We start from the raw sequence: 12360 nt of genomic DNA, 5'->3' as shown, positions 1-12360 counted from the left end.
GCAGTGATCTCGGCTCACTACAACCTCCGCCTCCCAAGTACAAGCGATTCTCCCACCTCAGCCTCCCAAGTAGCTGGGATTACAAGCACCTATCATCATGCCCAGCTAATTTTTGTATTTTTGTACAGACAGGGTTTCACCACGTTGGCCAGGCCAGGTGATCCGCCTGCCTCGGCCTCCCAAAGTGTTGGGGTTACAGGCATGAGCCACCACTCCTGACCGACATACATTTCTTTTGTGTGTCTGAGAAGCGTGACCATAGGCACATGTTAAACTGAATGGAGGTGTCAGCTACTGAGAAAAAAGTTCTAGTACAGAAATTCAGGTCTAAGCAGCTTCATGTCCCCTCCCCACCACAGGCAATCCGGTGAGAGCAGTAGTGACAGCCACGCTCAGGAGAGAGACAGTGCGGGCTGTCGGGTTGAGCTACAGATTCAGGGACTCAGCAGGAGCAACAGGAATAACTGACAATAACACTAAAGCAGAAATGACCTTCTCAAAGTCTGGACTCAACAGCTGAACATGTAGCCCAAAAAGCTTTCAAGAATCCAGAAAAATCAGGATTTATTAACCAAAGGTTTATGAACTAACTTGACCTGAAAAAGGCCTCAGTTACCCATCATTCTTCTTATCCTCGCTCTGATTCTGTACTGATTTCTCTCCCTGCATTTGCTACATACCTTTGATGCCTCCCCACATTTCTGGAATTGCAGTCCTTATTTTGCCAAAGAGAGTAAGTGAATGAAAGGAAAAAAAAATACAACAAAAATTAAAATTTTATTTTTAAGCATGACTCTGGAAAGTTGTAGGAGATCAGTGGAAGAGACGATTATAAAGCAATCTTCTTACAAAATATAATGCCAGGCTTGTGTGTTGTTTTATATCTTATTTTCAAACTGGCCAGCCCATCTTATCAACAACCCTTGAAAGAGAAGGGAGGTCCTGAAGAGCCAGGTCTTTCACACTGAAAGCAAAAGACAGTCTGCTCAATCACTGACCCTGCTGGGGGAACAGATCCTGGAATTCTCTTCCTCTAGAAATGATAGCCAAGGCCCTGCCCTGCTTGTGCCTATCATGAAGAAAGCAGCTTTTCTGTTCTGAAGCACCCACTCATGAACATCTGGAGGGTTAGATCCAGAGCCCAGACTCTGTTCAAGTATCTACCTACCATTTTGATAAGATTCAAGGGAAACAGGAATCCATGGAAATAAGGATTCCATTTCTTCCTCCACTGGGATTTTCAGAAATTAGGCTAGCTTCAGAAATTTGCAAAGATCATCAGATAAACAGTAATGATAATCCCATAAAGAGAGAAAAACCTTAATCCTTTCAGTTCCACAACACTATGGACAGTTGTAGTTAGAAGCTTTCCCCAAAGCTCACACCTGCAGTGCCAGAACATAAGAAGTGACATAACCACTGCAACTTCACATTTGTACATTTGTTTTACAATGTACAAAATATTTCACATTCTGTCTATGATCTTACAACAATCTTAAGAGGTAGACACAGTGAGTATTAAGTCTATATTTCAGATGGAAAAACTCACTTCAGAAAGGTTATATGACTTATACATGGTAAAATTACGGTGACTAGGAATCAGAAGGCTTGGATTTACTTCCTGCCTCTACTCAATACCTTTGTGTAAAAGCTGTGTAAACCTTATACACATGCTTATAGCATTGATGTTAACTGTTGTTGAAAGCACTCTATAAATTATAAAATCCTACATTAATAGATGAGTAACAACTCTATGACTCCTAGGCCAGTACTCTTTTTTTTTTTTTTTTTTTGGTTGGTCTCAGTTTTTAATAGTGGCAGGGCCTCACACACTTGCACACGTGCGCATGCACGCACACACACTCTAAGGCTTCAGACCTTGTTGAAAGCTGCAACATCGACACTCTACACACGCTCTCAAACTTGGTAATCTCCTCTTCCAGAAAGTTTGTCCCCACCTTGTCGTCCCCCACCACACACTGAATCTGCAGCTTCCGGATACCGTAGCCCATGGGCACCAGCTTGGAGGCCCCCCTAGACCAGCCCGTCCAGCTGGATGAAGCGCATACAGGCCTCCAATTGGGCTATATTGGTCTCATTGTCCCAAGGCTTGATGTCCAGCGGGATGGAGGACTTGACCACCAACGCAGTCTTCTTGGCCTTCTTCTCCACATACCACCTCAGCCACTTCTCCCACAGCCGGGCTGCCTCCTTGTCTTCCTCCTCATTGTCGCTGACAAACAGGTCAATGTCATTGTCCTTGTCACCCTCTGCTAGTGTGGCTGCCTTCTTGGCTGGGGGCTCCACTTGGCACATGGGAGACACATGCTGGATCTGCGTGGCTGTGTCCCTGTGGCCAGGCAAGCTCTTCTCCAGCATGTTCAGCCACAGGCCAGCACTCTTTTCACTATACTAAGTTGTCAGACCCACAGAGAACTAACACCCATTGATAACTCACTGTGAGTTAATGACTGCTAAAGGGACACTGCACATCATGGCCTGCAAAACTATCCATAGGACCCAGCCACACGTAGGATGTGCCACACATCTAAGAATATTCAGTCAGCTCTAACCACGCTGTAGGCTTCCAGAGACCCAATATACAAAAGGGAGAATACAGCAAATGCTCCTAGTGTACAGTATTCTCTGTACTCCTAGAATACAGAGAATACAGAATCTACCTCCTAGAAAATTGTTAATAGCTCACTGCCCATGTACTTCCATAGCTGCCTATTTGTTCTCAAATCCATTCTCTTTTTCAATTACTTACCAAGCTTGTTTACTTAGGGAAAAGGATGTCTCAAGTCTTGCTAAGCAGAGATATTAAATTAGATTTTTCAGTTCTTCCAGGCCTCGGCACCCAAACAATCCTGTTAATGAACCCACAGCTCCTCTGGCTTTCCTTGCTGGGCCAAGCTTGAGCTCCATGAAGCTGTGCCAGTCTCGACTCTGCCTTGTAGCCAGCACTGCCATTCTCATAGTGAAAGGCTGTTTGCCTCTGCCAGCCCCATTCCACCCTTGAATAAACAACCTTTCCAGCTAGCCAAAATGCTTAGCTTCTTTCAACTGGGACTCTGTAATTTGAATCTGTAATCCAATTAGACATTTCTTAACCAAATTTGGCAACTCTTCACCATTTAAATTAGGTTTTGATCTTTCATTCCTCTCTCTTCCTAAGCATGGACTTTCTGGCAGAAGAACTGGTAATGAAGAAAACTGTTTCATTCTATCTCAGGCCTAGGCTAACAAAAACTACAATAATAATAATAAATGTGTAACTCTGTGAATTATAAAATCCGATGTTAAATGATTATTAATATCACCAGGCTCCTTTCATTATACTAGGCTATAAATACCTCTCCCCAACATCTTCCCCGCACTACCTCTTACCCTATCTTTCCTAGAAATGCATTTGCTGAGACTTTGTCTTTTTCTGCTTTCAGAATTTTGCTGAAGAATATCCCTCTTGGTCAGAAGCAAAACATCTGCTACACTTCCCAGGACAGGCCATTCTATAACCTTGACTTCATTAAGAGGAAAAGCTATCTTAGCATTTTATTTCCCCTTTTGCCCATATTAACATAAAACTTTGAGCTTCAATTTCTAAACAGCTGTTCTAGTTCCACATCTTCACATTCTTCCTAAAACAGAAATCTTAGGTAGGATTCCCATTATTAGCTTATCACAATGTACAGAAACTCATGACGTGTGTAAGGAATGAACATACCAATGAATATCTACACATCTCCAAGCATATACATAATTTCTTGCCCAATAAATCAACAGTCCCTTACATAGTGCATAAAGTCATGCTGTCCAATACAATAGCCACTAGCCACATGTGGCTGTCTAAATTAATTAAAATGATATAAAATTTAAAATTTAGTTCCTTAGTTGCTCAACAGCCACATGTAGCTAGTGGCTACAAAACCACATTGGACAGCAGAGATATAAAACATTTCTGTCATCACAGAAGGTTTATTGGACAGCACTGATAGAGGCTGTTTATGAATAATACTGTTGTGAGAAATGGTGACTAGAAGCACTGAACACAGGTCACGGGTAACCAATGCTTTTTACAAATCCACTAAAACAACTTGTCTGGGAAGTGAATTCTGCTGTTGCAGCATGAGTAGCAGATTTAAAAGTACATTTTGGCTTTAACAGGTAATCTGGATCCTTACCAAAAATTTCTTTTTCTCACTGGCCCCTGCACATGAGCTTGTTGTTACTGTGGGGCTGTTCAGAAGGGCTGAGCTGCTGCTGTTGTGTTTTTTCTTTAAAAACAAAAAAACTGAGGTTAATAATTTGTATCCTTCGTGCAACATAAGTTTGACAACATTGAAGTAAATCATGGATCCAAAGATCTAGTACCTCTTGTTAAGATTACTTCCTAACAGTCAATCCTTTTTAGGCTTCTGCCTTCATAACCACTGACTTCACTCTACCAGCGCAGCAGCAGGCACAGCAAAAGATCAAGACTTCCCTCATCATGGCTTTTAGGCTCTAAGCAGAAGGAGTCCTAAAAAGGAATCCTCCTTCAAGGAACCATCAGTGACCATTCCGCCCCTCCTTTTCCCAGCCTCGTCCTTTTGGGCCTTCCAATTCAAGAAAGCTTCCCCTTTTCACCCACTAACTGATATTCATGCTAATAGTCCAGTCTGGAGAAAGATCAGCTAACTGGAGCAATGTTAGCAAGCACACACTACATAGGAAGACAGGAAGGAAAGTGAGGTCATTAGGCTCAAGCAAGGGGGAGGGGACTCACTTCTGGTAAAATGCTCCTTCGAAAAGTGGCTTTGAATACAAATGAGTTATAGCAAGGGAGAACTCACACAGTCAGACTGAATAACATATGAAAATAGTGTAAGAATGGGCCCTTATCTGTTTATACCTCCAGTACTATAAGGTAACAACAACAAAAGCAGCTTTTTAAACTAATCCTTCTGTTTTAACATGAAACAAAAGGACTCCTCTTCCCTTGGGGTCCCTAGGATTCCTAAAGGCAGGAAATACTCTGGAAGGCTCTATCTAGCAGACCACAGACAGGAAAAGTTTTAGGGCCTTATACTATCTCTAGGAACCAATTCTGAAGAATTGGTAAACAAGGTGCAAATGAGAAGAAAGGAGGTTAGCTGATAACAAACAGAACCAAAAGGGAGAATGTCATACACAAATTTTCATCAAACATGCCCAATATAGCTAGCTGACACAGCACTGGATACCCACTAGGTAGGAAAGCTCCCCATCATTCACTCCTCTCTGCAGAACAAAGTACCCAGGAAACAGGTAAGTGGCACTACAGGTGAGAAGAAGATTGTCAATGACACACAAGTTTAAATGTTAAGGAAAATAGGCAATGTTTTCCTAAAGAAGCATACAACTCTCAATAAAACAGGCACTATCAATAAGGTTAATAAGGTAAAATAACTGTAAACAGTAATAACAAAATCACTCATTATTGCCTTCAGAATATACTAGGTGACATTTTAATTAATAAATTTACCTTCTTAATTATATTTTACATAAGCTAATACCAAATTAATTAGTTTTTCCTGACTATATACTGTAAGGTAGCTAAAAACCTTCTGACTTAGGGATCATGAATCTGAATTAAATATTTGCCAAATATCAGTAAAGGGGAAAAACGAATATGAATACTGTCCCCATAACAGATGAAATGCTTACACAAGGCTTTAAGACTCCAAATCATAGATCCATAACTGCATGGCATATATAACTTTTTTTTTTTTTTTGAGACAGAGTTTCACTCTGTCTTGCCCAGGCTGGAGTGCAGTGGTGCTATCTCGGCTCACTGCAGCCTTTGCCTTCCAGGTTCAAGCGATTCTCCTGTCTCAGCTTCCTGAGTAGCTGGGACTACAGGCATGGACCACCACACCTGGCTAATTTTGTGTTTTTTAGTAGGGACAGGGTTTCACCATGTTGGCCAGGCTGGTCTCAAACTACTGACTTCAGGTGATCCGCCTGCCTCGGCCTCCCAATATCACTTACCATTTAACCATACCTGGTTGGTATGTATTACTTCCCATTTAACAGACTGTGAAAGGAAGGGGTCAAAAGCATTCAACCCTGGTAATGTAGTCTCCTTGGCTTTTCGTATATTTCCCATTTGAAAACCCCTCCCCAACAAATCTCACTTAGCTCTGCCAGGGTCACACACACCTGCCTATTTGAGTGACCTGTGTCTTTGTTCTTCATGGTCTCATATCCAGGCATCCGGTGACGTCGGTTCATCTGGAGGGCCACCAGATCGTTCATGATTGAGTTCAATGCCTCCTGTTCGTCTGCAATGAAAGAGAGCACATGGACTAAGACACTTAAATACAGACCAGCAAAGCTCTTTCACAAACTGTATAACTAATACTCAGGGAGTTCTGCCCAGGTAAAATGACAGACCCTGTAACTATAATCAGATGCAGCCCAAAAGGTCAGACTATGGCAATTTGAATTTTAATGGATTCTTTTTTTTCTTCGAGACAAGGTCTTGCTCTGTCACTCAGGCTGGAGTGCAGTGGCGTGATCATAGCTCACTGCAGCCTCCAACTCTGGGGCTCAAGTGACCTTCCCACATCAGCCTCCTGAGTAGCTGGGAACACAGGCATGCACCACCATGCCTGGATGATTTTTTTATTTTTTGTAGAGACGGGGTCTCCCCATGTTGCCCAGGCTGGTCTCCAACTCCTGGACTCCAGTGATCCTCCTGCCTCGGCCTCCCAAAGTGCTAAGATTACATACAGGTGTGGGCCACCATGCCTGGCCTTTAATGGTTTCTTAATAGCCCTCCAATCAGATTTCCTGCAGCAATATTTACCAATTCATTGCAGGGAAGGGACACGCTCAAACAGGGCAGTTGGTCCAGTGCCAGAGAAACTTAACCAGGAAAAATAGATGAAAAATTGAAGTGAAGAACACAGTACAATGTAATATGGTACTGAATGAAAAGATGAATCCATAGAGAGAGGATTATGGCACAGTGTCAGTCCCAGACTTATTCTTAAAGCATCATAAGGAGGAGAGCACACTTTAAAAGGTACCAAATAAGGGCCTCAGGTAACTGCTTTGAACAGAAGTTGTTTTACAAGCCTAGCATTTGAATGCCGCCACCACCAGCAACCCCCACAACTCTTTACAAGTTTATAGGCCTACTACTTCCCATGGGGAAGTCAAAGGGTAGTTCTATTGTTTTTCCTCCCTAAGCTGACCAAGCAATGCATTGTCTCCACCTTACTGGCATTACTTTTAATCCCCTTTTCTTGAAATAGCATGGAGTACTAGAGTTCTCATACATTGAAAACAACTGGCCAAAACCCAGAACACAAACCAGTCCAATTCCATGTTGTACAAATTTTTCCCAGGTCCTTTAAGAGATCTTTGCCCATTCAAATAGCATTTGGAGATTGAAAATGAATAAATCTGTTGATCGTGAAGGGAACATGAGGGATGAGTTGTTACACTTGCTTTGGTGACAACTGAGCCATTTGGGGACTTGGGGCACACCTTAAAAGAAGCAAATACAAAAGATTCCACCCAAAGAGAGTGCCTATCTTCTACCCTTTATCACTGTCCCTTGGAAATATTCTAATACCCTGTGGAAAGAAACGAACAGCATGAAATGTAGGAAGTAAAACTGCTCAAGTCTCTTCTCCCACTACTGATTAACTGATTGACTGACTGACTGAAACAGGGTTTCACTCTGTTGCCCAGGCTAGAGTGCAGTGGTGCAATCACAGCTCACTGCAGCCTCCTCCACCCCCAGGCTCAAACAATCCTCCACCTCAGCCTCCAGAGTAGCTGGGACTACAGGTGCACACCACCATGCCCTGCTAATTTTTGTATTTTTTATTGAGCGAGGGTTTCACCATGTTGCCCAGGCTGATTTCAAACACCTGAGCTCAAGCGATCCTCCCTCCTTAGCCTCCCAAAATGCTGGGATTACAGACATAAGCCACCGTGCCTGGCCCCTCACCTTATTTGCCTCTCCCCTCTTCCTAGACGAAATCTGCTCTGGTGCCCTATATGCCCTCTGACGAGGTACAGAAAAGGACAAAGTTGCCTATAAAGAGGTTTTTGCTTGTTCAGGAAAGTAAAATTAGATTTAAAACTTGCAGGAAAACCACCAGGAGCATAACTTCCCATATGATTCCACTTCAAAACATATACAAAAGTATGTATGAGAGTGACATAGCTGTAATATAGAAAGCATGCAGTAAAGGGGATAATGAATGAGGAGAAAGTGGGTATCTACAAAAAGACATCTGTCAAATTAACACATATATATCCCATCAATTATTTTATACCTTCTACAATTTCCCTATAGCTTCTTTAAAGAAGGGAACCTGGCTGGACAGGGTGGCTCATGCCTGTAATCCCAGCACTTTGGGAGGCTGAGGCAGGTGGATTGCTTGAGCCCAGGAGTTCGAGACCAGACTGGGCAACATGGCAAAACTACATTCTACAAAAAATACAAAAAATTAGCTGGGCATGGTGGTGCACGCTGTAGGCTCAGCTACTTGAGAGGCTTAGGTGGAAGGATCACTTGAGCCCAGGAGGTTGAGGCTGCAGTGAGCCATGATCATGCCACTGTACTTCAGCCTGGGCGACAGTGAGACCCTGTCCCAAAAACAAAAAGGGAACTTGGTTTTTTGTTTTGATTTTTATCCTCACAACCAAACTTTAAAAACTAGAGCATAACATCTAAGCTAGGAAGATTGGCTTATATATAATATGTATAGGTTTATATATTAAATGGCTTAGATATTATTAAATATATATAAAATTGGGCCAACTGTAATAATAAATTGGGATCAATACAAGGAGGATTATGACTAGGTTTAAGTGTTTTCTGAGGAGCATCCAACAATACTCCTAAAAGCGGAATGCAAGGAGTTATCAGTAACAACATTAACCACCCTAAGTATTGAGAATTTTCAGTTCTTTCAACTCAGATATTGAACAAAGATGGATGTGAATACACATACAGGCACACACATACACACACCACTTTTCAAGTCAGATCCACAAGTATGACTGAAGAAATCATTTCTAATTCTGTATAAGATGACGCTATTATAAGAGCTGGTTTATCAGGTTGACAAATTCTGTTTCCAGGAAGCTAACCAATTCCTGGCATTACTTAATGAACAAACTTGTTTAGTAGTTCCAGAGCTGAGAACACACTAGTGGAAAAGTTTGGCACTGTCATCTGAAATCTGGGACAACTGACACAAGTGAATCAGGGTTATAGAATCTAATTTTGTGTCAAAGTAAAATACATTCCTAGAGGTAGACAGGTTCTTCAACTGATACTTCAGAGGACATGTATAAAGACAGGAAGTAAATCAAGTGGCTCTTTTAGGCATTTCTTCCTGGATTGAGGTTTTGTTTTTGTTTTTTTTCCTTCTAAAAAGCAACATCACTATGCACACTTGGCTGCCACAAGCCAGTTATCTCTGTGGTATGGACTGAGACTAACTGAATTATCAGCACTCCTCCAATGTGGCATTCTTTAAAAACAAACAAAACTTTTAAAAACAAATAACAGGCTGGGCGCAGAGGCTCACGCCTGTAATTCTAGCACTTTGGGAGGCCAAGATGCGTGGATCACTTGAGGTCAGGAGTTCGAAACCAGCCTGGCCAACATGGTGAAACCCCGTCTCTACTAAAAATACAAAAAAATTAACTGCGCGTGGTGGTGTGCGCCTGTAATCCCAGCTACTTGGGAGGCTGAGGCAGGAGAATTGCCTGAACACAGGAGGCGGAGGTTGGTGTGAGCTGAGATAGCGCTACTGAACTCCAGCATGGCGACAGGGCGAGACTCCATCTCAAAAAAAAAAACAACAAATAACAACTTTCTTAGACTGAAGCAGTTAGGAATATGAACTTCAGAGTCAGAAAAATTTGGTAAGGAGGCCCTGAGCAAATCATTTATTCTCTCCAAACCTCAATTTCCTCATCTGTAAAATGGAGATAAAGCATCATTTCACAAAGCTGCTGTGGGAGTTAAAAGCAACAGAAAACCTACGAATTATTTCTTATGGTACCTAACACAGTAATGCTAAAAAAATGCTGGCTATTATTATCATCAATGAGAAAAGGTCAATGGAAAAAGACTGGAGGCCATTTAATCTACCCTAATACTTAATTTTATTACTGAACTTTTATAAATCATTAACAACAATTTACTGAATACTTATCTTGTATTACACATTAGAAAGTTTTAAAAGATATTTCAAGGTGTTCAAACTCTAGGGATAAAAAGATAAACAACACACAAATACAAAGTTGTATGAAAAAAAAGATAGAATTGGCAGGGCCCAGGGGCTCACGCCTGTAATCCCAGCACTTTGGGAGGCTAAGGCAGGTGGATCACCTGAGGTTAGGGGTTCGAGAACAGCCTGACCAACATGGAGAAACCCCGTCTCTACTAAAACTACAAAATTAGCTGGGCGTGGTGGCACATGCCTGTAATCCCATCTACACGGGAGGCTGAGGCAGGAGAACTGCTTCAAGCTGGGAGGCGGAGGTTGCGGTGAGCCAAGATGGTGCCATTGCACTCCAGCCTGGGCAACAAGAGCGAAACTCCGTCTCAAAAAAAAAAAAAAAGACAGAATTAGACAATATATAAACCAGAGTATATAAATACAAATGTATAAAAATAAATATTTTTAAATATGAGTAGCTTATATGGTTATATAAGAGGTTATATGGATGATTTTACATAATTGTTAACAGACTAAAGATTCTTTAAGAAAAGCAAGCTGGCTGGGCGTGGTGGCTCACACCTGTAATCTCAGCACTTTGGGAGGCCGAGGCAGGCAGATCACCTGAGGTCAGGAGTTCAAGACCAGCCTGGTCAACATGGTGAAACCTCATCACTACTAAAAATACAAAAATTAGCTGGGCGTGGTGGTGCACACCTGTAATCCCAACTACTGTGGAGGCTGAGGCATGGGAATAGCTTGAACCTGGGAGGCAGAGGTTGCAGTGAGCCAAGACTATGCCAACACATTCCAGCCTGGGCGACAGAGTAGAGACTCTGTCTCAGAAAAAAAAAAAAAGGATTGAAGAAAATAAGAGTGACAGGCCGGGCGCATTGGCTCACACCTGTAAGTCCAACATTCTGGGAAGCCAAGGCGGGCATATCACTTGATCCCAGGAGTTTGAGACCAGCTTGGGCAACATGGCAAAACCCCATCTCTACAAAAAATACAAAAAATTAGTCATGGCCAGGCACGATGGCTCATGCCTGTAATCCTAGCACTTTGGGAGGCCGAGGAGGGTGGATCAGCTGCAGTCAGGAGTTCAAGACTAGCCTGGCCAACATGGTGAAACCCTGTCTCTACTAAAAATACAAAATTAGCCAGGCATGGTGGCCGGTGCCTGTAATCCCAGCTACTCGGGAGGCTGAGGTAGGAGAATTGCTTGAACCCGGGAGGCAGAGGTTGCAGTGAACTGAGATCGTGCCACTGCACTCAAGCCTAGGTGACAGGGCAAAACTCCACCCCAAAAAAAAAAAAAAAGTATTTGTGAACTTTACACGTGAACAAGTTGAGGTAGCGTAATAGTGTGCTTATAACTTTGAAAAGATTTCCTGAGAGTGGGAGTGGTCTGACACACTTAGAAGCTACCAGGAAGAAGCATAAGGAGAAAGAGGTTAATTTTAGAGATTAAGAGGTTAAGAATCTAGGAAAAGGAGGAGTATTCATGGAACTAGAAAAGGATCTATCAAACAAGGATTAGAGTTCAGGCTTAAAAAGTAGAAGCTCTTAGGCAGTTTTAAGTAATTCCCCAGTGGCATGTAGTTTTTCTTCTCCTGGTACCCCAACCTGTGGTATGGAGGCTGCCAGGCAACATACTCCTCTCTTTAGCTCCAGCAGGAAGCCACTCTTCCAGACTGAGCTATTACTTGTATCTCAAAGCAGGGTCTTAAGGCACTTCCCATTTGTGAGTTCCCTTGGCTAACAACCCAGAAAAGTTGCCAGAAGCACCACATTCTCTAATAAACATTGTTATCCCGTATGGTGTCTGTTTACTATGCCACACACTCTCTCTCTTTTCCATAGATACAATCCCCAAAGTAATGTTTTAATCTTTGTTTTGTTTCATTTAACTAATGATGTTATTTCTTCATCTTGACAATGTTCTACCCAGCTCCACCAGATCGTCTGATCGCACTGCCCACTCAGGAGAGTCTGTGCTTCAGTGTCCCTGAGTCAGATTTTACTTTCTCTTCATGACATTCCACATACTTCCACTGCCTCCACCCTGTCCATGCCCAGGCAAACATCATTTTACAATGAGTATATGCAATAAGGCCAGACCCTCAATTCATAAGAAACT

General features: G+C 42.4%; 1 protein-coding gene and 1 pseudogene across 9 annotated transcripts in view; both read right to left on the bottom strand.

Annotated features, from left to right (window-relative positions):
- MAP3K3 (mitogen-activated protein kinase kinase kinase 3) overlaps nucleotides 1–12360 on the bottom strand; it is a 73889-nt gene that overhangs the window by 57320 nt on the left and 4209 nt on the right. For 5 of the 9 annotated variants that reach the window (NM_203351.3, XM_005257378.3, NM_001363768.2 and 2 more), the window contains exons 2-3: nucleotides 6184–6305; nucleotides 4185–4277 (exon numbers count right to left, since the gene is read on the bottom strand). In NM_203351.3, the coding sequence (NP_976226.1) occupies nucleotides 4185–4277; nucleotides 6184–6305 (215 nt within the window). The remainder of the gene's footprint in view (nucleotides 1–4184; nucleotides 4278–6183; nucleotides 6306–12360) is intronic. The other 4 variants (NM_002401.5, XM_047436085.1, NM_001330431.2 and 1 more) reach the window with 1 other exon arrangement.
- EEF1DP7 (eukaryotic translation elongation factor 1 delta pseudogene 7) lies at nucleotides 1876–2385 on the bottom strand (annotated as a pseudogene).

The sequence above is a fragment of the Homo sapiens genome, chromosome 17, assembly GCF_000001405.40.
Source record: "Homo sapiens chromosome 17, GRCh38.p14 Primary Assembly".
Lineage (NCBI taxonomy): Eukaryota > Metazoa > Chordata > Mammalia > Primates > Hominidae > Homo > Homo sapiens.
Note: the sequence above shows the minus strand (reverse complement) of the source record. Positions and strands in the feature narration are given on the sequence as shown.